Below are 23,736 nucleotides of genomic sequence, written 5' to 3' on the forward strand. Positions count from 1 at the left end.
GCGAGAGAGAAGAGTTTCCCTGGAGGAGGCTCTCCTCCCGAGGGGCATGGCTCCAGGCCCCTGGGATGAGTGCGGTGTATGTCCATAGCCATGGCCCCTTCTGTCTCCGTAATCCCATAACTCGTGCGTGTCTTTTCTTTCCCTCCAGCCTCCCAGGCCGGTTCCTGTGGCAAATTACCCCCACTCACCTGTTCCAGGGAACCCCACACCCCCCATGACCCCTGGGAGCAGCATCCCTCCATACCTGTCCCCCAGCCAAGACGTCAAACCACCCTTCCCGCCTGACATCAAGCCAAATATGAGCGCTCTGCCACCACCCCCAGGTGAGGGCCCTCCCTCCCTCTCTTGGCAGCTCCACCTGGGCCCCCCAGTGGGCCGGGAGCAGGGGCTTCGCAGTCAGGCTGCCTGGGGAGTGGGCATCAGAAGGGGCAGAGAGTTGAGAGCAGGTGAGATACCCAGGGGCACACTCAAGGCGGGGTAGGCAGCTCACAGACAGCCTTTCTTACTGCTGCCTGGGCGCCTGGAGGCTGGGAGGAAAATCTATACGCAGCCATGGAAGGATGCAAGGAGGCGGGTGGAAGAAGAGGGGATGAGTCGCTGGGGCGGGGCCGTGTAGAATCGAAGAAGCCATGACTCACTGGTGTGCCCTTGGACTGGCTATGTCTCTGGCCCTGTTTACACACCCCTGCCTTCCTCTGAGCATGCAGCCCAGGGTGAGCAAGTCCCACCTACAGCCCCAGAACCCATGGCAGCTGAGGCTTGTGGCTCACCCACCTCCTCTCCTCGCCCCAGCCAACCACAATGACGAGCTGCGGCTCACATTCCCTGTGCGGGATGGCGTGGTGCTGGAGCCCTTCCGCCTGGAGCACAACCTGGCGGTCAGCAACCATGTGTTCCACCTGCGGCCCACGGTCCACCAGACGCTGATGTGGAGGTGCGTGTCAGGGCAGGGGCGCCAGCCCAGGCGGGATGAAGGAGGTCCCCTGGGATGGCTTCCTTGGGCCCGAGTGGGGCCCTGGGCAGGGGGTAGCAGCATCTTCTGACACCTTCACGTGTTCAGCATCATTGACTGGGCCCTGTCCTGCGGTTGTCATGGGAAGTCTGCAGGTGCACAGGTAGATGAGCAGTCAAGGTGTCGTGGCCCAAGGGCAGGGAGCAGCTGTCACTCACCCCAGAGGAAAAGGTGGCTGGCTCAGACCTAGGCTGGGAAGCTGTGTATCCCATCTGAGACCGTGAGCTGACAAGAGGGAACGCAGTCAAGAATTCGAGTGTGACTCATGTGGCCAGAGCCAGGAATGCAGAGATGAGGCTGGTGCAAGGGCCAGGCCGGGGTCAGGCAGGCCCCATCTATTGCAGGGGGCTGACCATTGGGCAGGGCTGCTGCTCAGACACTTAGGCACGTGCTGGAACACAAGGTCCGGAGGTTCCCTGCTGAGCCAGGCCCATGCTCAGCACCTTCCACGTGTGACCCACTTTGATCTTGGAAATGGGCAACACTTTCCCTTTTGACAGAGGAGGAAGCTGAGGCTAGAGAAGTGAATTGGCTTGTGTGAGTTCTCACAGCTAGCCAGGGGCGGAGCTGAGACTTGGGCCCAGGTCTCCAGGATGCCAGAACCAACCCTGGGGGTGTCCACCCTTCAGTCCTTCATCCTCAGTCAAGACTCACAGTCTCACTGTGCTTGTGACTCAGACCCCCTTGACTGCCCAGTGAGCATCTCCAGCGCAAGAGCTGGGTCTGTGCCTGGCACATGCACACACACCCCTGCTGTTTTCTTGACCATGCTGAGCAGGCTGGGTGAGGTGGCCACAGATAGCTGGTGTGGGCGTTCAGAACACAGGAGCTGCAACGCTCAGGCAGGAGGACAGAGGTCCCTGGCACGGGACAAACCACTGTGCTGCCTGCCTGCACCCTGCTCACCCACGCTCCTTAGCTGGGAGTGTCCTGGCCTGGGAGGCCTCCTCTTCCTGGCTTGCTTGTCACACATATATGGTCACTGCTGGTTCCTGACACTCCTCAGTGCTGCGTCCTTGGGGGGCCTCCTTGGGGAGTGCTCAGAACCAGAAATGGCCGTGGCCTGGGAGGACAGCTCCCAGCAGGTCTAGAGATGGGGTTGGCTGGCCTCACAGCAGGTCTTGTCAAATGAGTGCCTGTTCATTTGCCCCTCTGTCTCTGTCCTGGGGATCCAGGAGTTGACCCCTACAGGGAGGACATTCCAGGGAGATGGGAGCTAGAGCTGTGGGGTGTGATGGGAATGATTGGTGTGCGGGGGTCTTGGGGGCAGTTTGGGTGTAGAGGGAGTATCCAGAATGGGAGAGGAGAACTCAGGCTGGGGGAATCATTGGGGTCAGGGATGGGGTCCTGAGGATCTCGGAGGTTGTGGTGTGTTTAGAGGTGTGTGACCTGGCTCGGGGTCACGGAGGCCATGGACAGCCCCCTGGCAGAGCTGCCCTGAGCACCCTCGTTCCCCACCTAGGTCTGACCTGGAGCTGCAGTTCAAGTGCTACCACCACGAGGACCGGCAGATGAACACCAACTGGCCCGCCTCGGTGCAGGTCAGCGTGAACGCCACGCCCCTCACCATTGAGCGCGGCGACAACAAGACCTCCCACAAGCCCCTGCACCTGAAGCACGTGTGCCAGCCGGGCCGCAACACCATCCAGATCACCGTCACGGCCTGCTGCTGCGTGAGTGTGGTGGGCCAGGGGCAGCGTTGGCACAGGCAGGCCCTGTTTCACGGCATGAGAGTGCGGAATACCCTGCCCCACTCTGGTCCTCAGCCTTGTCCCTGCGTCACCACCCCCGTGCCCACAGCCGCCAAAGATACAGCGTCCCCTTACCTGTGCCCAGGGCCTGTGCAATAACCTTCAAACCGTTGGGCCTTCAAAGCCACTGTGCCCTGGCTTCAGACGTGGCCTCTTCCCCTGGACACTCAGCCTCCGTCTGTTCTCCACACATGCTTCCGATTCACCCCTCCTGGCCCCTCCTCCCTACCCTTCATTCATTGGTGCAGTTCTGTGTTCCTCAAAGCCATGTCCTGCTTGCCTCATTCACCAGCAGTTGTCATTGTCAGCACCTTTTCCCCCAGACCCAACGCCCCCAAACCTGGAGTTAACGCGTTCCCTTCTTTCCCAACCCCCTTGTCTTAGAGTCACGTATGGGGGTCCTTCCAACCCGTGACTTGTTACCTAGGACCAGCTCTCAGCCACCCTCATGTCCCCTGAAGATCAGGGCCCAACACACAGGGCTTGCTCAGGCCCCAGTGGAAGTAAATTGCCTGCCCCACTCCACTGGCCTCTCTGTGGAGGCATGGAGAAGGAAACACTCTGATCCACCCTTGTGAGCTTAGGGGCACGGAGGCTACACAGAGATAGGGGTCACAGACCTGGGCAGCACATCCCATTCTGGCTGGGGAATGTGATGTGCTGTGTGAGGCTGCACAACTGTCAGAGTGAGGCGGCTGATGGGTGGACGTTTGGGATGTGCAGTTCTGGAAGGCTTCCTGGAGGAGTGAAGGGAGGGATGAGCACCCTGGCAGGAAGGGCTAAGGACACATGATGGGGAGGCAGTGGTAGGGGAGGTTAGGAAGCAAAGTGGGACCCAGGCTTAAAGCCTTGTGTCCTATAACCTTATCCAGGGAGTATTTCAGTGTCAAAGTCCACCTTGTCGATCTGCAGCAGAGGCAGCCTTTCCAGAGTAGTGCTCAGGCTCGCAAGTCCCAGGAGACACCCTGGGGGAGCCTCCTGGGCCGGCTGTGGGATCCTGGGAGCAGTCTAGGGCTGCTGAGGCTGCAGGCAGGGCGGGGTGTGGGGACAGTGCACAGGAACTGAGTGTCTCCTCTCTCCCCGCAGTCCCACCTCTTCGTGCTGCAGCTGGTACACCGGCCCTCCGTCCGCTCTGTGCTGCAAGGACTCCTCAAGAAGCGCCTCCTGCCCGCAGAGCACTGTATCACGAAAAGTGAGTCAGGGTGGGGACGGGGGTGAGGGCCAGACTCCATCCCCGCCTGAGTTTGGGACTGAGAAGCAGTCACCATTCACCTGGAACTGACCTTTGCCTCCGTGCATGTCACCACCGGGCCTGGAGTGTCCCTGAGCGCGCCCTGTCCTGAGGCTCATGCCCTCCTCCTGGGGCTGTTGTCGTGGTCAGAGAAGCTAGGTCCCATAAGAGCTGGTGGGAGTTCTGGGACCTGCCCTGTGTGGAAGAGCTGGCAGTCCAGCTTGGGAGCCAGAACAGGCATACCTGCAATAGCAGCACAGGACATGAGGCAGATTAAAACAAAATGTCAGGAAGCAGGCTTCCTGGAGGAGGTGATGACCTGGGCCAGGCCTTTAAAAGATGGGAGGATTTAGAGAAGAGGGGATCTTCATCAGGCAGAAGGCATGGAGGGTGGATTCCAGATTGGCCTCCCTACTTCAACAGCTCATGCTTTTTTTTTTTTTTTTTTTTTTTTGAGAGAGAGAGAGAATGTCGCTCTGTTACCCAGGCTGGAGTGCAGTGGCATGATCTCGGCTCACTGCAGGCTCCGCCTCATGGGTTCACGCCATTCTCCTGCCTCAGCCTCCCAAGGAGTTGGGACTATAGGTGCATGCCACCACGCCCAGCTAAGTTTTTTTTTTTTTTTTTTGAGACGGAGTCTTGCTCTGTCGTCCAGGCTGGAGTGCAGTGGTGCTATCTCCGCTCACTGCAAGCTCCGCCTCCTAGGTTCACGCCATTCTCCTGCCTCAGCCTCCCGAGTAGCTGGGACTACAGGCGCCCACCACCGCACCTGGCTAATTTTTTGTGTTTTAGTAGAGACGGGGTTTCACCGTGTTAGCCAGGATGGTCACAATCTCCTGACCTCACGATCCGCCCACCTCGGCCTCCCAAAGTGCTGGGATTACAGGCGCGAGCCACCACACCTGGCCAGCTTATGCTTAAACTCAGGAGAGGACTGGGCACAGTGGCTCATGCCTGTAATTCTAGCACTTTGGGAGGCCGAGGCGGGAGTCCAGGAATTCAAGACTAGCCTGGCCGCATAGTGAGAGCCTGTCTCTACAGAAAAATAAAAAATTAGCCAGGTGTGGTGGTTTGTGCCTGTGGTCCCAGCTGCTCAGAAGGCTGAGGTGGGAGAATTTGTTTGAGCTGGGGAGGTCGAGGCTGCAGTGAGCCATGATCAAGCCACCACACTCCAGCCTGGGCAACACAGCCAGACACTGCCACAAAAAAAAAAAAAAAAAAAAAAAATTGGGATGGAGGGACTTGGCTTGGAGTCCCCTTTGAAGGAGACTCCGGGTGTGGACTCGGGCCCTGTGCAAGAGGTACAGGGCCACTCTTCACATTGCTGCCCTGAGTCCTGGGATTCCAGCAGGCAGCTGTCCGTTTCCATTTCCACATGTGCAGAGTGAAGTGCAGGAGTGCCTGAGGGGGCTTTTCACTGACCCAGTAAATCAGAGAAGTGCCATAATGACTTTCCATGAGCTTTGCAGACATGCCCCTTCCTCGCGAAGGCAGGGCCTGCTCTGCAGAGACAGGGGAACTGCCACAGCCACCTCGTCTGGCACACACACACCACACGTGTCCCACATGGAGACAGCAGCCCGGGCACCCGGCCCTGTGACTGCCACACAGTGCCACACACTGCCCTCTCAGCGTTTGGTGTGGGCTGGGAGGAGAACCAGGACATGCCCCAGCTGCACGAGGAAGTGGGGAGCACGTGCAGACCCCCTACCTCTGCAGGACTGTCTTGCCATCCTCACCTGTCTGTGCCTCCTGCCCCGCAGTCAAGCGGAATTTCAGCAGCGTGGCTGCCTCCTCGGGCAACACGACCCTCAACGGGGAGGATGGGGTGGAGCAGACGGCCATCAAGGTGTCTCTGAAGTGCCCCATCACATTCCGGCGCATCCAGCTGCCTGCTCGAGGACACGATTGCAAGCATGTGCAGGTGAGCGGCCCCAGAAAGCACAGCTCTGGCAAGCCACCTAGACTCTGGCTGGGATGGTGAGGGGTAGGCAGAGGGGCAACAGAGCCTGTCCTAACACTGTCCTGAAGGACGTCATGGAGATCAGCAGCTGGCGTCACTCATTAATTTCCGCCATCATTTATCTTTGAGCATCTTTTCTGTGTGCTTAAGGCCAAAGGGGCTACAGAAATGGGTTCGGACAGCCCCTGCCCTGGCAGATGGCAGATGCCAGCTGGAAGTCCCACACACATGTCAGGGCTGATTGGGGGCCCAAGAGCAGGGACACCACTGTCCAGTTCATGCCTCTGTCCAGGGCCTTGCATCAAGTCAGTGTTCAGGAAGTAGCCCTGGCGTGAGTGACAGCCCCAGTCTGAGCAGGCAGTGACAGAGCAATGAGTAAACATGGGCAGCCCGGCCTGGAAGAAGAAGGAGCCGTCTTCTGGAACCTGGGTGTGGTGGGCATGCAGAAGGGGCCCAGGGCTGTCACCTGCAGCTGGTCCTGAGGGTGCAGTGGGACAGGAGCTTCCCCTCCTCCCTCCCAAAGAATGCTGTGGGCAAGAGGATGGTCTGGTCACTTTATCTATCTGATACAGATGGATGAACTTGATCAGACTTGTCTTCGGTGCCTGGGCTGGGCTGAAGGGGCTACCCCTGGCCTGGTTGAAAGGGGCTATTACAGGGCAAAAAACAGTGAGTCAGCTGGGGTGGGAACCAGGAAGGCTTCTCAGAGGATGTAGGCACAGGGTCATTTGGGGCATGGGAGGTGGTGTGAGGGATGCTGGGGTGGAGGCATAAGGACTCTGCGTGGCAGAAAGGTAGCATTGCTTTCATTCCACCCAGCCCCAGCCCGGGGTTTCTCCCACAGCCTATCTTTCTCTCTGGTGGGGAAGTTATTCCAAGGGTCCCTGAGGCACATCTAGGCAGTTTCTGACAGTCCTGGTCTCACCTGTGTCTGTCTGTCTGTCTGCAGTGCTTTGATCTGGAGTCATACCTGCAGCTGAATTGCGAGAGAGGGACCTGGAGGTGTCCTGTGTGCAAGTGAGTGATGCCCACCCCGGTGGGGGCTTCCCCCATCCCCCAACCACAGACGGGAGGGGCCAGCTACCTCCCACCTCCACCTGCCCTAAATGCAAACCAGAACCCAAACATGGCAGAGGGGCTCAGGTTATGGGGGCTCCAGGTGGTCCCTTGGTATCACGCGGTCAGAGTCCCCCTCTCTTGTGCCTCCAGTAGTAACCAGCAGCAGGGGTGGGACCCCACTGACACTGAGGTGGATGGGCTTTGCCCCTACCTCCTTGGGTCCTGGAGCAGAGGCCAAGCTCCCCATCTCCTTTTCCAGTAAAACCGCTCTGCTGGAGGGCCTGGAGGTGGATCAGTACATGTGGGGAATCCTGAATGCCATCCAACAGTAAGTGGGGCCCTAGCGAGGGGCAGGGGGTGGGAGGGGACGAGGCCTGGATTAGAGCAAGGTGAGCAGGTGGATAGCCCTGACACAGCCCTCCCCTCCCAGGCCAGCAGACCGTGACCCACATCCCCCACCTCTCTGTCCCTTACCCTCGGGGGCCTCTGGATCTGGGGACAAATGAACTTCCCAGAAAGCATGAAAGCCAGCCACAGCAGGAGGCTGACAGTGCCCCGCCCCGACCCTCCACCTGCTGCTCCCCACGAGGGAGCCCTTGAGGCCAGCTGCCCTGTGCCCAGCCACTTGCTTTTCTAGCCTCAGTCTCCCCATATGTCAAAGATATATAGAGAAATCCCTGCCAGGCTTCCGCCTCGTCCACAGTGTGGTGAGAGTGGGAGCAGGGGCCTCAACAAGGTCACCTGGGTGTCTGTCGGAGCTGGAGGTGCTTTTATGCCCAAAGCCAGGCACCCCGGAGCCTCAGCTCTGCCACCCTTCCTCCCCCAGCTCCGAGTTTGAAGAGGTCACCATCGATCCCACGTGCAGCTGGCGGCCGGTGCCCATCAAGTCGGACTTACACATCAAGGACGACCCTGATGGCATCCCCTCCAAGCGGTTCAAGACCATGAGTCCCAGCCAGATGATCATGCCCAATGTCATGGAGATGATCGCAGCCCTGGGCCCCGGCCCGTCCCCCTATCCCCTCCCGCCTCCCCCAGGGGGCACCAACTCCAACGACTACAGCAGCCAAGGTGGGTGATGCCAGGCAGGGAGGAAGGGAGAAGGAGGGCAGCCCCAAGTCCCTGCAGAGGCACAGAATTTCTGTGCTGATGGTGGCAGGGGTCGGGGGTGTGGTTGAAGAGAGAGAAGTAACACATCCCCCAAAAAACAATTCCCAGTTTGCTAGACTTGAGGGTACATGGGCCTAGCCCAGGGGCTTCAGAGCCTGCCCTGGTGGGAGATAGACTGCTGCCTCTTCCCTCCCACACCCACCCGAGTTCTTGGCCTTACCCCTTGCCCTCCTGTATTTTTTCTGTGATATCTACATTTCCCCTGCAACTTTCCTGCCCTCCTAGGGACAGAGTCCAGGTTCCTAGAGCCTCAGCCTTTGGCCACCAAGGTCACCCACTGGCCCTTACGCTCCCGGCTGCCCAGACCAAGTTTTACTCCTACTGCCACTGATTCCTGGAAAGTACCCCCACTGGGTGGCAGCTCCCCCTGGGATCCGTGATCTTAGGTCCCCATGAGAGGCCCAGTGAGGTTAGGCCACCTAGCCGAACTCCCACAGTGTGCCAAGGGCCAAGCCTCCCAGTCTGCTGATCCTCTGACCCTTGCCATCGCCACATGGTGGAGGGCACAGTGACCAGGGAGGCGGAACAGCTGGCTTCTGCGGGTGTCATCCTGAGTCTGCTGCAGCTTTCTTTGTGGGCTTGGCAGAACATGCACCCACTCTGGGCCTGGGTCTTGCTGGGTATGAAAAGTGCCCACATTGGGGAGTAGCTCAGCAGGTCTGCTCTAGGCTCAGGCCATGTCCCCCACTCCCCACAGGAGCCTGGCCCGCCCCCTTTGTCCCACTCTGCCCCCTCCTCCATAGCAGTAGGGGCAGCACATCCCCTAGGGTACCACAGACCACGGGACAGGGCTGAGTGGCTGCTCTATCCTACAGCCCGGAAGCCTCGGGCTGCTGTGACCTACTACAGCCTCGCAAGAGGAAAAGGACTTGGCTTGTATTTTTACACACTCTCTGTTCCCTGGGGGTGGCCACTATCCCTCTGGGTGACCCCCTCCCCTCCCCATCTCATCCCTTCCTAGGCAACAACTACCAAGGCCATGGCAACTTTGACTTCCCCCACGGGAACCCTGGAGGGACATCCATGAATGACTTCATGCACGGGCCCCCCCAGCTCTCCCACCCCCCGGACATGCCCAACAACATGGCCGCCCTCGAGAAACCCCTCAGCCACCCCATGCAGGAAACTGTGAGTACCTCCTCCTCACCCCATTCCATTCCCCAGCCTTTGGGGTTGATGCCTTGGGATCTGGATACCCTGTTCCCTCCCAGGCAAGGCAGAGGATGAAGAATTGGGTGTGTGGGCTCAGAATGGAATAGGAGGGGTCTAACTGAGGCTACGTCGTGCCCTGTCAGTGTCCTTAGACTTGGCTGTTTTACCTAGGATTTCGGATTCTCTGGAGATGGGGGAAGCTTCAGGCTCTTCCCCAAACCCTCACCACCCCATGCATACACACACACGTGCATGCACTCGCCACTACCCAGCACACGCCATCAGCCCTCTCCCTCTCCCACTTGCACAATCTTACACTCACCTAACACGGTTCCAGCCACCTCAACTTTTGTCCCAAACCCAGGCACTTATTCTCCAAGGATCTGAATTCAGGGTATTACCACCTCCAACAAAAGAAATGCTAGGAAGTCTGATTATCTGAAGAGCATTCACTTCTCATTCTGTTTCACACTTATCGACATATGCCCTGTGTGGCTGAGGACGTCCCTGGTGGGGTAAGGTGTCCTGTGTTGTCCACAGGCCCTCCCTTCCTGTGGCCCCAGTGGCAGTGGCAGGAGGCCCTCCTGTCCCCTGGAGTCCTCATCCAGTGAGTGCCACGTGGTTCCACTCATTTTAACAAGCGTTTTTTGAGCTGTGCTCTGCGCAGGCCATGTGACAGGTGTAAGCAAGACAGACAGGCCTTGGGCTAATGGAGTAAAACTCCTGGCAGTGCGTGGGTGCAGGAAGAACAGTTGGAGTTTGGAGAAACTGAAGCCTCCGGAGGCTGAAGTGGTGTGTCTGAGGTCTCAGTCATTCTGGGCTCTCATCTTGGGGAGGAGGGGCCATCACTGAGCACGTGGCTGGGGGTCCTGGGCCACACCAGCCAGGGAGAGGGCCCGGGGTCCTGCCAGAGTCTGGCAGTGGGCTTGGGTGGCCTGCACAGGAAGGAGCCTCTGGATTATACTGCCTTCCACACACCTGACATGGAATTGCCTCAGGACTCTAGGTGAGGTAGCAGCAACTTTCCCTCAGGACCCCAGGAGTCCAAGTCGGAAATAGATGCTTTGTGGAGCTTTGGCCAAGTTTTTCAAAGTTACTCTCTGCCCCATGGGGCTTGTGATTTCTGGGGGCTTCTTTCCTGATGCCCCTTCCTGGGCCCTGAGGGCATCCCACACCCAGAAGACACCAAAATCACACCCCCCGACACACACACATCCTGCGCCCTCACAGTTCCTAACACTGGAATATGGAGTGCTGATGCCGTCTATTTCCCCTTGACAATCAAGCTTTCTCCTGCCTTCTGTGAGCCCCGCTGCCTGCATTCTGTGTGGCTTGATCTGAGCCTGTGAGTTGACCTCAGAGCCCCTTAAGATGCTCTCTAGATGGTCCTGTCCTCCATTTCTGAGCTCTCACTAGAGGGCAAGCAGACCTGGAAGTGCGGATGTGCCAGGCCGGTGGGGCAGGGCAGTCACAGGTAAACTTCTACCACACCTGCCCAGGTGGAGGCAGCCACACCCCCAGCTGAGCCCAAGGCTGGGAGGCACTGCCATGCCCGCAGAGACTGGCCAGAGCGCTCTATCCAGATGCTGCTGCCCCCACAGACTGCCCATACTTGGTGGCGGGTTGACAGGTGTGTCAGCAGTGCTCCAACAGCACCTGCCCCTCCATGCCGGAGACATTCCAGCCAGATACGAAGCTGAGGGGCACAGCTGCCTCTGAAGATCCAGGGACTGTCTGTCTTGAGCTGGGCTGCACAGCTGGAGTGTGGAGCCCCTCCCTGCTCTCCCAGGGTGGGCACTGAGGGCATCTACAGGAGTGGGAGCCCTAAGCTGGCCTCTCACTGACCATGGGTGGTGGCCCATTCCTCCAGCCTCTTGTATGTGTCTCATAAACGGGTCTCCCAAGGTCTCCAGCAGCACCGTTGCGAGGTCGTCTCATTCTTGGGGCTTGGACTGGAAGGGCACTGTGCTCCCTAAGGCCGCATGGGGTTGGGGCCCTACACCCTGAGAAGGGGACACCTGGACCGTGGGCAGAGCCCGACCCATAGCAAGGCCTGGGAAACAGTTTTAGGAGAAACAGGAAGAGGAAGGAAGTTGGGGATGGGCAAAGACCGAGGATGGTGTGGCTGCAAATTCTAAATGCACACAGGAAGAACATGTCAGTGTGTTCTGTGTGGCTGCCCCAGGATGGGGCAGGGTGAGGGGATGAAAAGACCAAGGAAGCATGTGCCAGGCTGCTGTTCCAGTGGAGCACCTGGAGCATCCGTGAGCCCCTCTCACTGGCAGAGCGAAAGTGGGGCTGGGGGCTGTCAGGGATGCTTGCAGTGGGATCAGGGCTTGGTCTGCGAGGATTCCCCGGCCTTTCACTTTGAAGGAGGATCTGCTTGGGACAGCAAACAGGCTAGCAGGGGAATGTTCACATCTCACCCACCCACCCACAGACAGCCCAGTTTTCAGTGCACGTGCCCACAGGAGGGTGCGAGTCCTCTAGTTATCTGTTAGAGAGGCACCGCCAGCCTCACCCTCAGCAAGACACCCACCATTGGTGAACCGTCACTCAGTCTCCTTGTCCTTGGAGTCCCAGAGGTGCCTGCCTCCCTCACAACCCTGTGTTTTTGAGGGCTGGTGCCGACCAAGTGGGATGTCTAGGAAAAGGGTCTGGCAGGGTGTGAAGATGCCCCTGGCTGGCCAGGTGCCCACCCAGCCCTGCTCCTCTGACAGCCAAATTCCACCCGCGCTGCAGGGCTTGTGCCAAGGCCCCAGCTGCTCCACACTTCGGACTGGCAGAAGGCGCCTTCGTACCCAGCATCACCCCTGCCCAGGGCCCACTTGGGAGGTGCAGACCCAGTCCTGAGCCGCACGCCCGCCCAATGCTGTCTGTCTGTGTCTGCTCTCTGCCGCCCAGCTTGGGATCTGCACCACGCTGAGGCAGCCGCCCTCCTGCCTCCCGCTCCCCGGAACATGCCCATTCTGCTTCTCCATCCTGCCCTCGCTGTTGTTCGTTGTCTGGGCGGGGAGGTGGAGGGGCCTGGGGGAGCCCAGGCCCAGCTCCCCGTGTCTGTGCTTGTGTCGAAGCCCTCCCCACCTCCTGGGGCTCCACGTGGCCCGAGAGGTCCCCGCCGTCCCCCTGCAGCCTCCCTGATGGGCGGTTTTGGGGGAGAAATTTTTCTTTGTTTCTCTGCCCAGAAACAACGTTCAGCCTCGTACCGGGTGGCCACGTTTCGGGGGTTGTGACTTCCCTGGTTGTGTTGGGTTTCATTTTCTCCAGGCATCATCGCCGTGCCTCCTCACCTCACCTCTCTTCTCTCCCGCTCTCTCCTCCTCCACAGATGCCACACGCTGGCAGCTCTGACCAGCCCCACCCCTCCATACAACAAGGTTTGCACGTACCACACCCCAGCAGCCAGTCAGGGCCTCCATTACATCACAGTGGGGCTCCTCCTCCTCCTCCTTCCCAGCCTCCCCGGCAGCCGCCACAGGCCGCTCCCAGCAGCCATCCACACAGCGACCTGACCTTTAACCCCTCCTCAGCCTTAGAGGGTCAGGCCGGAGCGCAGGGAGCGTCCGACATGCCGGAGCCTTCGCTGGATGTAAGTTGGGGTCGCCACTCGCCTTGGCCTGGGGCTAGGCCTGGCGCCGGGACCTGCCCGAGAGAAGGGGTGGGTGTGAGGGCTCGAGGCCCCGAAGGGAGGAGGTGGGTGGGCGGTGGGAGGGCTTCACCCAGACCTGGCTCCAGACCAGGAAGCCCCATGATGGGGAAGTGTCACCACTGAGGGTCCCCACCCTGCTGGCTCCTGTCCCCCCAGTCCCTTTGGCCATAGCCCTGAACCCCAGCCCTGACCCACCTTCTGACCCAAGCCCTGCGGGGTCCCTTGCGCAGCACAGGAGGGTCCCTGCCCTCCCCCGATGGTGAGCTTGCGGTTTCTGTGTCTGCCTCTCTGGCCCGGGCAGGGAGGGCTGGAGGGAGAGGCCGTCTGTCTGCCTCGCTGGTGTGTGTCTGTCTCCAGTTTTCTTGTCCGCGTGTTGTCCATGCCCTGCTTCTGCTTGCTCCATCGCTCACTCCAAGAGGCCCCCATGTGGGTGACAGAAGGTGGGGGCAGAGGGGGCAGCCTTGGGTCACAGCCAGGGGCAGCAGGCCATCATGGGCAGCAGAGGTGCCAGGGCTCCTACCCTGAGGTCTGGAAGATGGTGGGGGTCACCCTGGATGATGGGGCTGGGCTGCTGGATGGGGCTGGCGGGATGGGACTGAGCACCGGCCCCGCCCATGCCTACACAGAGCTGGTGCCAGACTCCGGGAGGAGGCTTGTCCTCGGCCCCTCCTGTTCTTCACCCCCAGCCCTGCTCTGTCAGCCTCTGCCCTGCAGCATCAGAGGAGCTCTGTGCTAGCTAGGACTCACTCACTGTGCAGCCATCTCAGGTCCTTGCCCAGTGTTCCCCCTCAAACCAGGCCAGTGGGGCTGCTTTTAGATGCATGAGGCTCCCCATGTGACAGACTCCAAGGATATCTCAGTAGAGGGTAGAGACAGTCTGCATCCCCTCCGGGGCCACAGGGAAGGATGGCTGCCAGCCAGCCACAGGCTCACCAAGGAGTGGCGAGCCCTTGAGAAGAGGGATGTTGGGGGGTTGGGGGCGGTGCAGGAACCACTCGCCTTCCCGCCTTCCCACCAGCCCACCTCCTTGTGCTTACACGTGAAGCATGTGATTTCAGCTGGGAGGCCCAAGTGACCTGCCATGGGGCCTTCCCAGGTTAGGGCTGAAGTCCATGCCTGAAAAGGGTCAGCCCTGCTCAGGCCTCAGCTGGTGGGCTGCGGGTCCCAATCCTGAGGCTTGAAATGAGCATGGGGGTGCCCCACACTCGGTGCAGTGGCCGGGGTATGTGTGGGGATACCTGGCAGGCCCAAGCCCAAGGCTGTTCTCTACCCCTTTTTTTGGCTAGGGTCCTGAGAGGCAGGTGGAGGGGGACGGGCCAGGGCGCCCCTGCATTCCTCACCCGGGGCCTGCCTCTCAGGCACACCTCATCTGAACTTCATTACTCCTTCTTTTCCAGCTCCTTCCCGAACTCACAAATCCTGACGAGCTCCTGTCTTATCTGGACCCCCCCGACCTGCCGAGCAATAGTAACGATGACCTCCTGTCTCTATTTGAGAACAACTGAGGGCCACCCGGTCGGGGCCATCCCTCCACACTCTGCATCCTACCCCACCTACCCAACACACTTTTCCACCTGGGAGCCTGTGCCCTCAGACCGCCCCGCACCAGAGCCACGGGCTGTGGGGCGGGGAGCCCTCCCCCGCTGCAGCCCTCTCAGAACAGAGGGGTAGGGAGGGTGCACCAGTGCACCAGGAAGGCTGTGTGGGTCTGGAGCCCACGTCCCACCTCCACACCCTTGGCTTGGGCCCATGCCCAGCGCAGGCCTGAAGACCACCCTCCCGAGAGGAACCAGCCCGGTAAGAGGGCACACGCTGATGCGGCTTCCCGGTCCCTCCGCGTGTGCCGATTCCAGATGACCTTCCAGTGTCCCCAAGGTTCTTCCATCTTCTAGACTGTAACCCTGCCTCCCTGCTTCCTGGTCCAGAGCCTCCCTCCAGTGACTGTGGAGCCTGAGAAGGCCCCCGGGCCCCAGCATGGGCCCCGAGCCTTGGAGGAGCACTGGCAGTTGGTGGCAGTGAGACCAGCCCACCCACCACCACCCACCACAGAAAAGCACAAACCTCTGGGAAAGACAACGTCTCTCGGGGGCCAGGGGTCATCGGTTTGACCCCTGACCTATAAGCCAAGATACCCCATAAACACACTCAGAAAGCAGAGAAAAAGGACAAGAGTCTGTGTTTGAGAGGGGGTCTGCCATTCCTGCTTGGGGACTGGTGGGGAAGAGGGCCAGGACATCTTCTGAGCCAGGACGTCCCTGAGGCTCCACCTCCAAGCTCAGACAGGGCCCAGGCTTGGGGAACAGAGAGAGCAGGTGTACACCCAACCAAAGTGATTGTGCCCTTGGTTGGGGGGCGCGGGCATATAACCTGTCAGAAGCAAACAGGAGCGGCAACTTCTAACTTTGCTCCAAGCCACTCTCTTTTTAAACAGCAACAATTTAAAGCTATGAAGTCACCTGGAGAAAAGGAACGTTGCTCTTGGACAGCAAGCAAACCATTTCTCTCCGTCTGTTCTGTTTTTCTCCTAGTCCCTCTCCTGCCACCTCTCCAAGACTTCCGTGGGACACCCACTTCCCTCTGTCCTAGTTCTCTTTGTCCAATCAGATGGCAAGGGCAGTGCGTGGAAAGGCCGGGGAGGTGCAGAAACCAGAGCCCAGGGCAATGGTGTCTGTCCAGCCCCTCCCTCTGTCCCTGTGCTCCAAGCTGCCCCCGGCTGCAGCCCAGGCCATGGACATGTGCACCAGTATGTACCTGCAGGCATGGGGGGGAGGGGGGCGTGTTTCTGGGCCTGCCCCAGACACTGCCCTTGGCTGCCAGCCTACCCTGCCTGCACTCCTCCACCATCACAATCTCACCCAAACTCCTGCTCACTCAAGCAAAAGCAGCCTCTGGCCTTCCCTCCACCGCTTTGCTCCATCTGGCTTACCACTCTCCAGGGCCTCCTGGGGAGCCTGTCCTGTGTTCACTTTGTTTCAGGCTGGTCTGTGCCCCGTGAGCCACATGGCCTAGGGTGATGCCAGGTTGTCCCGTCACTGGGGTCCCATCTGTAAATTCTTTGCGCCCTTCCCGGCTGCTGCCTGGGGCCCTTTCCTGCTCTCCCGTCCGCTGTGGGTGGTCCCCAGCTCTCCTCTGTGGGTTTTACCGGAAAGGTGGCCCCAGCTGTTGACTTCCAGTCACTGTCCCAGACGGCACAAGGTTTTCTGTAGGAAAGCTGCCATTGCCCCGGCCCCTTTTCTTCCTTTGTCCCGTTGTCGAGGTTTTTTCAAATAGCGTGTTGTTCAGTATGCAAATCAATTATTTTAAGAATCGCTTTTGTAAATATCTTTGTGAATATTTTAGTATCGTCTTTGATAATATTCAACATTTTCATGACCTGGTTATAGCCTTTGCTGGTGTTTTTAAAATACCTGGACTCAATGACAAAGACCGAGTCTTCTTTTTTTTTAAACAAAAACAAAAAAAGCAACCAGGGCTATTTGTACAGTTGAAGGGGTGAACAGAATGGGCGGCTGTGCTGGGAGTTGGAAGACCGGGCAGCCCGCTATTTAGAGCCATCCCTCAGTCAGCTGGCAGGGACAAGCCAACGCCAGGTAGCATGTGGCCACCCTTGCCCAGTGTCTGTGGCCTGGCAAGTGGCCACGCCCTGTGTCAGACCATCTGGGAATTAAGCTCCAGACAGACTTACAGATGCCTTCCTTAGGAGTTCTTGCTTCTTGCGTTGATACTTTGCCCCAGAAAGGCCTGGGATTCATTCTGGTTCTTATCAGGGTGTGTCCACACTCTGCTCACAGGTGGATCCACGGCTTTCCAGTGCGGAGAGTCGAGATGCTCCCTGCAGCCCAGGCCCCGGGCACCTCCTGCAACCATCTCTGGGCTCAGCACCTGAGGCGGGTTTCCTGGGTCCCCTCTCCAGCAAGCCTCCACCAGCAAGCTCGGCCCAGAGCTTCCCTTCCGGCTGGCTCTGAACCGTGCGTGGTGCCTACAGCCTGCAGTCTGGAGACAAGCTCTTCCGGAGTGCTCTGGGAGCCAGGCCAGGGTGTGAGGGAGGTGCAGAGGCATCCGGGGCGGGAGCAAGCCCCAGGTTGTGACAGGTGCAGGTAGACAACGCCCATAAACAGAGATGGTCCTGAACTCTGGAGAGATCCTTCCCTGATCCTTTCGGACGACTACTTGGAGCCATAAGTAACCTCAGCAAAAACGAGGCCTCTGCAAGCCACTTTTCCATGCCAAGCATCCACCCGGCCCACAGGCATGTTTCTGCCGCCACTCCGCAAGATGGACAGGGAGCCAGCAGGCAGGCGGGAAGGGCCAAGTACAGGCAATCACCCCCATCTTCTTGGTTTGAAGCTTTATCCATGTATCATGTTCCGTGTAGCCATTTTATTTTTTAAGAAACTGCTAATACTTTCTCCCTAATGGAAGCCCTGATCCCCCAGAGAGCTACAGGTCTGCTCCCGACGGGCCTCGGGCCTGACCCGTCCACACAGGGCCGTGTCAACAGCAGCGACTCAAGGGACGTGTGTACATATGTAAATGAGAAATAGAGACGTGTCAACAGATGCATTCATTTCTCTTGGAATGTGTATTGTTTTTATTTTGCGAAACAAAACAAAACAAAAAAAAAAGCTTGGAACTCCATCACGTGGAAAAACTAGATCCTGTTGGTTATAGCATTTGTGAGTTCTCCACGTCTGTCTCTCTCGCTCATGTAATATACTCTGACCCTGAGTGGAAAGGGGTTTTTGTTCTGTTTTTATTTTACCTACATGTACTATTTAGCTTCAGTGTACTAGTCCTGCCACCTGTGTATTTTTAGGGTGCTATGGAAATAATGAAAAGAAACGGGGATTTCAGAAGAAAATTGTAACCAAATTCATACTTTGTATAATTTTTGATATCATGATCACAGGTGATTCACACGTACACACATAAACACACCCACCAGTGCAGCCTGAAGTAACTCCCACAGAAACCATCATCGTCTTTGTACATCGTATGTACAATGCAATCATTTCATACTTTAAACTGGTCAAAAAACTAATTGTGATTTCTAGTCTTGCAAAGCTGTATGTAGTTAGATGATGTGACAACCTCTAATATTTATCTAATAAATATGTATTCAGATGAAACCTGTATATTAGGTGTTCATGTGGTTATTTTGTATTTAAAGATCAAATTATTTGACTATTGCTAGACATTTCTATACTCTGTTGTAACACTGAGGTATCTCATTTGCCCATGTTAATTTTTTTCTAAATAAATTGACAAAAACAAAGGTTTGGCGAATTAGCTATTTTGTGGATGTTAAGGAGTGGTTTGGGTGTTTTTGCTTTTGTTTTAAACCACACCCCCCGCCCTGTTACCCTCTGCACACACAAAAAAGAAAGGCAGGTGGTTTGGGTGTTGAATTGGAAGAACCCCTGTCCATGGGGGTCCCTGGAACCAGTCCCTGGTGGGGCAAGTGCAGTGTGTGGCCGGATGGTTGGGGGAGTTGGGGTGGCTGAATAGGGCCAGGTGGCTGCAGGGTGCTAGGGGCCCCTGTGGCATGTGACTCAGAGTGTGCAACAGTGTCCCATCTTTGATGGTCCCTTGTGGATTATGCTGGGTTTAAGTAGCAGGAAGCTATTCATATTAAGCCACAGAGGGTGCTGTTCAGAGCACACAGGAGTGTGGCTTCAATGGAGAGTGAGCATTCACTGCACCCATGGCTCCCTGCTGGCATCTCAGCATCCCTGGCCTCCACCTCTCGGTACACCTGCCCCTCCCCTCCTAGGGAAGCTTGGGTTTTCCCTCCTCCGTGAGCATGCTTTACATGGGGTACTGTCTCACGATAGCCCCTGCCCAGGCCATGGTTCTAACCATCCTTCCAGCCTCGGCACCAACACAAACTGACAACACTTGATGTGTCTCCGATTGAAGTTTTAGGAACATGCATCTGACACAGCCCCGCAGCCAGTCCCTGCCCTCCCTCCACGCAGCCTCACCTTAGGGGGAAAGCAAATGTGGCTGTCATGGCCTTTCCTCCACAGGGACTGTCCACAGAGGGAAGAAGGGCCGGGCCGGCACCCCAGAGATCTCCACTCAGATGTATCCGGGTGTCAGGAGAGTGAGGGGCATGTGTGTGCAGGAGCCGGCGGTGTGGGGGAGGCTGCAGGGTGCTGCCTGTAGGGGGCTGGGTGCCTAGAAGCCCCCTGCTCCTGGGGCCTCTCCGAGGTGGCTGGAGTTTCTCCTTTTGGAGGGAGGTGGAAGGTGAGGAGGAGAAAAGATTTACCTTAAATAATGGAACACCCACCGGCCACTGCTCAGCTGCAGGCACTGCCTTCTGCCAGCATCACCAGGACAGGCTGACTCTCTCTGAACAGACACCCCTCCGAGAGGAGGGTGATTAGTTAGCTTGAGGGAGAACTTCCCGTAGGAGACATGCCCCCCTCCCTGTGCCTTAGAGCAGTGTGGTGGGGCTGGACCAGCACTTTAATAAAACAAATGAGAATACAGTAGAAAATATCAGGAGTGTGCCCTACAAAGTAAAGGGTAGCATTCTATCAAGAAACGTGTGTGTGTGTGTGTGTGTGTGTGTGTGTGTGTGTGTGTGTGTCTGCTGAGTCATGATGTTAATTCTTATTTGTGGGTTGTGGTTGAAAACAAAAAGTTTGAATGCCATTGACTTAAAGGCAGGAAGTGGGCAGGGGAGCAGGGAGGGAGGAAGGGCAGTGTGCTCCCCCAACTTCATGATAATAAGCAAACCTTCCTGGCATTTCAGCTGGAGACTCTGAACCTGGGATACAGGCCTGTGGCTGCCCCACAAGGCTGTATGGAGACTGGCCGGCCCCATCTCAGCTAACTCCTCCCCAGACGGGTGACTTCCTTCTGTGAGCCTAACCCCTGGACCAGAAACATCCACCTAAAAAGCCCAGTGGGGGCCCTGGCTTGGGACAGTTCAGAGTTCAGCCTCCCAGCATGTGGGGCCACACACTGTGGATCATCTTACGTCTCTTCTTCCTCTAGCCCACTGCAAAAAGTCTCCACCCTGAATCCACTGACTGTCTTCATGTAAGGCCATGGGATGCTATTGGGGAAATTCATTCAGCCCCACAGGTCGATGTCAGGATACACTGGGGTCTCCAGCCTCCCTGAATGCTAAGGGCACTCAATGTTTAATGGCCCCCCATTTCCCTTCTCCTCTGCTCCAGCCTCCTGCTAACCACGCCCACCTCGCTCTAAGCAGGCTACCCTACCCTCACCCAGCTCCCCACTGTCCCTGCTGCTACCCACAGACCTATCTCCATCCACCCTGGCCATATCTTTTTCCACCCAGGCCCAGAGGATGTGGTGTCCCTTCCCCAGTTGGGGCTACCCCTCCCCCAGCCCCTGACACCATCACCCCTTTCTCTTCTCCAAGGAGTCTCATTCTATCAGCCCGTTAACCCTCCCCATACCTCTGCCTCCCGCCTCCCCGGGTTTAGTGGCCCAGGCTCTGGCATTGCAAGGTTCAGCTTGGTCTGGGCTCCACCCCTTGATGGCCAGTCTCTGCTCCTTCCCATGCAGGCTTCTCAGCCACAAAACTGCCAGTGCCCACTCTCTTTCTCTGTCACCCTTCATATGCCTGGTTCATGCCCCACCAGTTCTCTGACACTTCTCCTGCAAGCTCACCAATGGCCTCTTCGTTGCTGATCCACGCTGCTTTCTGAGACTGGACCTCACAGCTGCACTTGACAGTTGCCATTTCTTCCTTGAAGCTCTCTTCTCTTGGTGCTATGGTTTGAATGCTTGTCCCCCCCACCACAACTCATGGTGAAACTTAATCCCCGGTGTAACAGTACTAAGAGGCAGGCCCTTGGGTCATAAGGGCTCTGCCTTCATGAATGGATTGATGGATTAATGAGTTGGCAGATTCATGGGTTATCATGGGAGTAGGTCTCTTATAAAAGCCAACTTGGCACGCGCTTGCCCTCCTCGCCACATGATGCCTTCTGCCATACTACAATGCATCATGAGGCCCTCACCAGATGCAGCCACCCAATCTTGAACTTCCCAGCCTCCAGAAGCATGAGCTAAATAAACTGCTTTTCTTTATAAATTACTCAGTCTCGAGTATTCTGTTAGAGCAACAGAAAAGAGATGAAGACACTTGAATCCATGACAACTTCCTCTTTCATCTGTTTAGTTTTCCTGGCATCCCTCTGTGCCTTCCTTGTCTTCTCCGCAGGTTCCTATGGTAACTAGGTACTTGTGGTGCTTCATCAGGATCTTCTTCACCGACTGGCCCACCCATCCTGCCGCTGCTACGGGTGTTGGCCGCCAACAGCCCAGAACGTGCCCCTTTATCAGAGAATTTCCCTCAGCTCACAGAAACCTCCATGCCTGACAGGTTACCTGCCCCCTATCCCCACACATGCACCCCTGCCAGGCAGCGCACAGCCAAAATTGACTGCCACAAGGAATAAAAGGCCTCTTGGCTGGGGCATGATCAGTGCTCTCAAATCCTCCCTGTGGGTCAGGTCAGGGCTAGACTTTACCTGAGGCCACATGCTAACTCCACTCTCTCCCCTTCCTTGTTCTGCCTGCCTCCCTCATAGGTTTCTCCCAAGATCACTCCCTCAATAAATCATGGAATCAGCATGCCTGTCCTATGCTCTGCTCCTATCCAGATCGAAGACAGTGGGTGCTGGGAATGGGTCTGGGAGGCAGGCTCTGAGGATAGGATGCTGGAGAGGTACCACTGACCAGATGACAATGAGGACCCACCACTAGTGGCAGGAATTGGGTAGCAGTGTGCACCTGTGGTGAACTGGGATGGGACACAGGTGAAGGAGCTACACAGCCACAGCAATGTATCCGGCATCTGAGAGATATGGGCAAAGAATAACTATTAAGACTATGGACTTGCTAAATGTGGCTATTACTAAATGTCACCAATGCATTGAAGAAAGGAAATTACAGTTACAAATATCTTAACTGGCAATTTAGAGTGTGCGCATCAGAGGAAACTTCTTGGCAGGAAGCATTGGAAAGCGCTTACCTTCTGCAGCCAGAGGGCAGATGGAGTGACAATCAGGCAGAGGACTCATTGGAAAAGCAGCAGAACTTGAGTAAAGGCTGAATTCTCCATCAAGGGAGGTCTCCTATATCCAAATCAGGCCCCTGGTAGGGAAGGAGACACCAAGACTTGGGATGAGGACTGTCATACCAATGCCTCTCACAAAAAATGTTTATTATGACCAGCTGACAGAGAAGGGAAATTCTTGAGTTTGGGTCACAGATGGGTTGACTTGGCCTGTGGGTGTAAGCCAAAAATGGACTGAGCCTGCACTACAGTGCCATCCAAGGGTGGCCCTGAAAGATGTTGGTGAGAGAAAATCCCTCCAATAGGCAGAGATTTTGCCAAAGCACCTGGTCATCTCACGGCAAGAGAAGAGACCTGAAATAAGGATATACTCGTATTCATGGGCAGTGGTGAATGGCTTAGCTCTTTATTGGTCAGGGGCCTGGGAAAAACAAGTCTGGACTATCAGAGACAAAAAGGACTGGGAAAGAGGCCTGTGGATCTCTGAGAGTGGCAAAAAGTACGAAGATAACGTATCACATTTCAATACTCACCAAAGAGCATCCATTGCAGAAGCAACACCAAACAACCAAGTGGGCAGGATGACTCGGCCAGTGGACGTCAGCCAGTCTCTGTCCTCACTCGTCATCCTCCAACCAGTCCTTGCACCATATGGGCTCATGAACAGAGTGCCATGGTGACAATGACGAAGTTATATATAACCCTAACAGCCTTGGCTTCCTCTCCCCAAGGCTGATCTAGCTACTGTCACTGCTGAATGCCCAACCTGTCATCAACAGAGACCCAAGCTGAGCCCGTGATACAATAACATTCCAGGATGAAACCAACTAGCCACTTGGTGACAAGTTGATTATGTAGGACCCCTTCCCTCATGGGAAGGGCAGTGATTTGCCCAGACAGGATGGATGCATATTCTAGGTATGAATTCACTTCTCCTTCCAATGGAGCCTCAGGCCATTGGCACTATGGCTCACCAAGAGTCTGATTCACTGACATAGGCCCTCAGTTGACATCATTGCAGACTAAGAGAGCTGAGTCACCATGATTGCTGCATGGCAGTGGGCACACGACTGTGAAATCCACTGGTCCTTACACATTTCACAACATCTAGAATCTGCCAGTCTATAGGGGATAGAGTTGCCTCTTAAAGACACAGCTGAGGTACCAACTGGGAGGCAATACCTCATCAGTGTGAAGGATATGGGGTGCTATCCTTCAGGTTGTCCTATACATCCTAAATCAATGACCCCCATTCCCAACAATAGGCAGATAAAATAAACTTAATGTGAGAAGTGACTGGATCTGAGCAGTGCAAGGGGTGGGCTGTAGTAGACGCTGTGGCACCCTGCCCAAATCCCTTCTGCAGGGCAAGGCACCCCTCCCCTGGCTGCCGTGAGTGTTGGCTCTTCACAGCTTACAGCCCACAGCCCCCTTTCTCTGGAGAATTGCCCTGAGGTGACCAGAGCTGTCTCACCTGGGAAGTTCCACCCTCTGGATGTGGCCCACAAAAAATGGCTAATCTAGAGTACAAAGTGCCTGCCCTCTTGCCTTAAGGATCTGGCTTATGCTCCAAAGTCTTTGCTCCATGATCCAGCCAAGGGCAGCCTTTCTCCAAGCCCCTCTCATTGTTCATCTCTTCCCCCTCCTTACTCTGCTTCTCTCACTCTTACAGATTGTTTCTGGAT

The 23,736-nt window shown here is 56.7% G+C and overlaps 1 protein-coding gene across 12 annotated transcripts in view, besides 21 other annotated features; it reads left to right on the plus strand.

Annotated features, from left to right (window-relative positions):
- Window positions 1-18,262, plus strand: part of ZMIZ1 (zinc finger MIZ-type containing 1) — a 247,554-nt gene extending 229,292 nt beyond the window's left edge. For 9 of the 12 annotated variants that reach the window (XM_047425538.1, XM_047425539.1, XM_005269988.4 and 6 more), the window contains 11 exons: window positions 149-323; window positions 793-934; window positions 2,475-2,685; window positions 3,850-3,955; window positions 5,758-5,918; window positions 6,907-6,974; window positions 7,276-7,344; window positions 7,843-8,087; window positions 9,148-9,314; window positions 12,667-12,927; window positions 14,385-18,262. In XM_047425538.1, coding sequence (XP_047281494.1) covers window positions 149-323; window positions 793-934; window positions 2,475-2,685; window positions 3,850-3,955; window positions 5,758-5,918; window positions 6,907-6,974; window positions 7,276-7,344; window positions 7,843-8,087; window positions 9,148-9,314; window positions 12,667-12,927; window positions 14,385-14,492 — 1,713 coding nt within the window. In that variant the 3' untranslated portion in view covers window positions 14,493-18,262. The remainder of the gene's footprint in view (window positions 1-148; window positions 324-792; window positions 935-2,474; window positions 2,686-3,849; window positions 3,956-5,757; window positions 5,919-6,906; window positions 6,975-7,275; window positions 7,345-7,842; window positions 8,088-9,147; window positions 9,315-12,666; window positions 12,928-14,384) is intronic. The other 3 variants (XM_006717925.4, XM_047425542.1, XM_047425543.1) reach the window with 1 other exon arrangement.
- Window positions 6,149-7,348: an enhancer, noted in NCBI's record as "CDK7 strongly-dependent group 2 enhancer chr10:81064163-81065362 (GRCh37/hg19 assembly coordinates)". NCBI's record gives its function as "activates an origin of replication core promoter dependent on BRD2, BRD4, P300/CBP, MED14 and CDK7 cofactors, with strong dependence on CDK7, by STARR-seq in HCT116 cells {active_cell/tissue: HCT116}" and the evidence as "EXISTENCE:reporter gene assay evidence [ECO:0000049][PMID:35650434]".
- Window positions 13,523-14,023: an enhancer, noted in NCBI's record as "H3K4me1 hESC enhancer chr10:81071537-81072037 (GRCh37/hg19 assembly coordinates)". NCBI's record gives its function as "activates a minimal SCP1, AML or CMV promoter by ChIP-STARR-seq in naive H9 embryonic stem cells {active_cell/tissue: H9 hESC(naive)}" and the evidence as "EXISTENCE:reporter gene assay evidence [ECO:0000049][PMID:30033119]".
- Window positions 14,781-15,280: an enhancer, noted in NCBI's record as "H3K4me1 hESC enhancer chr10:81072795-81073294 (GRCh37/hg19 assembly coordinates)". NCBI's record gives its function as "activates a minimal SCP1, AML or CMV promoter by ChIP-STARR-seq in naive H9 embryonic stem cells {active_cell/tissue: H9 hESC(naive)}" and the evidence as "EXISTENCE:reporter gene assay evidence [ECO:0000049][PMID:30033119]".
- Window positions 18,322-18,822: a transcriptional cis regulatory region, noted in NCBI's record as "chr10:81076336-81076836 region (GRCh37/hg19 assembly coordinates) targeted for CRISPR interference". NCBI's record gives its function as "positively regulates PPIF gene expression in GM12878 lymphoblastoid cells {active_cell/tissue: GM12878}" and the evidence as "EXISTENCE:mutant phenotype evidence [ECO:0000015][PMID:33828297]".
- Window positions 18,322-18,854: a biological region, named in NCBI's record as "CRISPRi-FlowFISH-validated PPIF regulatory elements GRCh37_chr10:81076336-81076836 to GRCh37_chr10:81076368-81076868". NCBI's record gives its function as "regulatory_interactions: PPIF".
- Window positions 18,348-18,848: a transcriptional cis regulatory region, noted in NCBI's record as "chr10:81076362-81076862 region (GRCh37/hg19 assembly coordinates) targeted for CRISPR interference". NCBI's record gives its function as "positively regulates PPIF gene expression in anti-CD40- and anti-IgM-stimulated BJAB lymphoma cells {active_cell/tissue: BJAB(+anti-IgM and anti-CD40 for 4hr)}" and the evidence as "EXISTENCE:mutant phenotype evidence [ECO:0000015][PMID:33828297]".
- Window positions 18,354-18,854: a transcriptional cis regulatory region, noted in NCBI's record as "chr10:81076368-81076868 region (GRCh37/hg19 assembly coordinates) targeted for CRISPR interference". NCBI's record gives its function as "positively regulates PPIF gene expression in BJAB lymphoma cells {active_cell/tissue: BJAB}" and the evidence as "EXISTENCE:mutant phenotype evidence [ECO:0000015][PMID:33828297]".
- Window positions 19,037-19,537: a transcriptional cis regulatory region, noted in NCBI's record as "chr10:81077051-81077551 region (GRCh37/hg19 assembly coordinates) targeted for CRISPR interference". NCBI's record gives its function as "positively regulates PPIF gene expression in BJAB lymphoma cells {active_cell/tissue: BJAB}" and the evidence as "EXISTENCE:mutant phenotype evidence [ECO:0000015][PMID:33828297]".
- Window positions 19,037-20,058: a biological region, named in NCBI's record as "CRISPRi-FlowFISH-validated PPIF regulatory elements GRCh37_chr10:81077051-81077551 to GRCh37_chr10:81077572-81078072". NCBI's record gives its function as "regulatory_interactions: PPIF".
- Window positions 19,170-19,899: a transcriptional cis regulatory region, noted in NCBI's record as "chr10:81077184-81077913 region (GRCh37/hg19 assembly coordinates) targeted for CRISPR interference". NCBI's record gives its function as "positively regulates PPIF gene expression in GM12878 lymphoblastoid cells {active_cell/tissue: GM12878}" and the evidence as "EXISTENCE:mutant phenotype evidence [ECO:0000015][PMID:33828297]".
- Window positions 19,346-19,948: a transcriptional cis regulatory region, noted in NCBI's record as "chr10:81077360-81077962 region (GRCh37/hg19 assembly coordinates) targeted for CRISPR interference". NCBI's record gives its function as "positively regulates PPIF gene expression in LPS-stimulated THP-1 monocytic cells {active_cell/tissue: THP-1(+LPS for 4hr)}" and the evidence as "EXISTENCE:mutant phenotype evidence [ECO:0000015][PMID:33828297]".
- Window positions 19,359-19,859: a transcriptional cis regulatory region, noted in NCBI's record as "chr10:81077373-81077873 region (GRCh37/hg19 assembly coordinates) targeted for CRISPR interference". NCBI's record gives its function as "positively regulates PPIF gene expression in THP-1 monocytic cells {active_cell/tissue: THP-1}" and the evidence as "EXISTENCE:mutant phenotype evidence [ECO:0000015][PMID:33828297]".
- Window positions 19,418-19,918: a transcriptional cis regulatory region, noted in NCBI's record as "chr10:81077432-81077932 region (GRCh37/hg19 assembly coordinates) targeted for CRISPR interference". NCBI's record gives its function as "positively regulates PPIF gene expression in anti-CD3- and PMA-stimulated Jurkat T cells {active_cell/tissue: Jurkat(+anti-CD3 and PMA for 4hr)}" and the evidence as "EXISTENCE:mutant phenotype evidence [ECO:0000015][PMID:33828297]".
- Window positions 19,427-19,486: an enhancer, noted in NCBI's record as "active region_3642". NCBI's record gives its function as "activates an Ori minimal core promoter by ATAC-STARR-seq in GM12878 lymphoblastoid cells {active_cell/tissue: GM12878}" and the evidence as "EXISTENCE:reporter gene assay evidence [ECO:0000049][PMID:35858748]".
- Window positions 19,436-19,936: a transcriptional cis regulatory region, noted in NCBI's record as "chr10:81077450-81077950 region (GRCh37/hg19 assembly coordinates) targeted for CRISPR interference". NCBI's record gives its function as "positively regulates PPIF gene expression in anti-CD40- and anti-IgM-stimulated BJAB lymphoma cells {active_cell/tissue: BJAB(+anti-IgM and anti-CD40 for 4hr)}" and the evidence as "EXISTENCE:mutant phenotype evidence [ECO:0000015][PMID:33828297]".
- Window positions 19,558-20,058: a transcriptional cis regulatory region, noted in NCBI's record as "chr10:81077572-81078072 region (GRCh37/hg19 assembly coordinates) targeted for CRISPR interference". NCBI's record gives its function as "positively regulates PPIF gene expression in BJAB lymphoma cells {active_cell/tissue: BJAB}" and the evidence as "EXISTENCE:mutant phenotype evidence [ECO:0000015][PMID:33828297]".
- Window positions 20,076-20,651: an enhancer, noted in NCBI's record as "H3K27ac-H3K4me1 hESC enhancer chr10:81078090-81078665 (GRCh37/hg19 assembly coordinates)". NCBI's record gives its function as "activates a minimal SCP1, AML or CMV promoter by ChIP-STARR-seq in naive H9 embryonic stem cells {active_cell/tissue: H9 hESC(naive)}" and the evidence as "EXISTENCE:reporter gene assay evidence [ECO:0000049][PMID:30033119]".
- Window positions 22,818-23,318: a transcriptional cis regulatory region, noted in NCBI's record as "chr10:81080832-81081332 region (GRCh37/hg19 assembly coordinates) targeted for CRISPR interference". NCBI's record gives its function as "positively regulates PPIF gene expression in anti-CD3- and PMA-stimulated Jurkat T cells {active_cell/tissue: Jurkat(+anti-CD3 and PMA for 4hr)}" and the evidence as "EXISTENCE:mutant phenotype evidence [ECO:0000015][PMID:33828297]".
- Window positions 22,818-23,359: a biological region, named in NCBI's record as "CRISPRi-FlowFISH-validated PPIF regulatory elements GRCh37_chr10:81080832-81081332 to GRCh37_chr10:81080873-81081373". NCBI's record gives its function as "regulatory_interactions: PPIF".
- Window positions 22,844-23,344: a transcriptional cis regulatory region, noted in NCBI's record as "chr10:81080858-81081358 region (GRCh37/hg19 assembly coordinates) targeted for CRISPR interference". NCBI's record gives its function as "positively regulates PPIF gene expression in THP-1 monocytic cells {active_cell/tissue: THP-1}" and the evidence as "EXISTENCE:mutant phenotype evidence [ECO:0000015][PMID:33828297]".
- Window positions 22,859-23,359: a transcriptional cis regulatory region, noted in NCBI's record as "chr10:81080873-81081373 region (GRCh37/hg19 assembly coordinates) targeted for CRISPR interference". NCBI's record gives its function as "positively regulates PPIF gene expression in LPS-stimulated THP-1 monocytic cells {active_cell/tissue: THP-1(+LPS for 4hr)}" and the evidence as "EXISTENCE:mutant phenotype evidence [ECO:0000015][PMID:33828297]".

This window comes from Homo sapiens, chromosome 10, assembly GCF_000001405.40.
Source record: "Homo sapiens chromosome 10, GRCh38.p14 Primary Assembly".
NCBI classification, from domain to species: domain Eukaryota; kingdom Metazoa; phylum Chordata; class Mammalia; order Primates; family Hominidae; genus Homo; species Homo sapiens.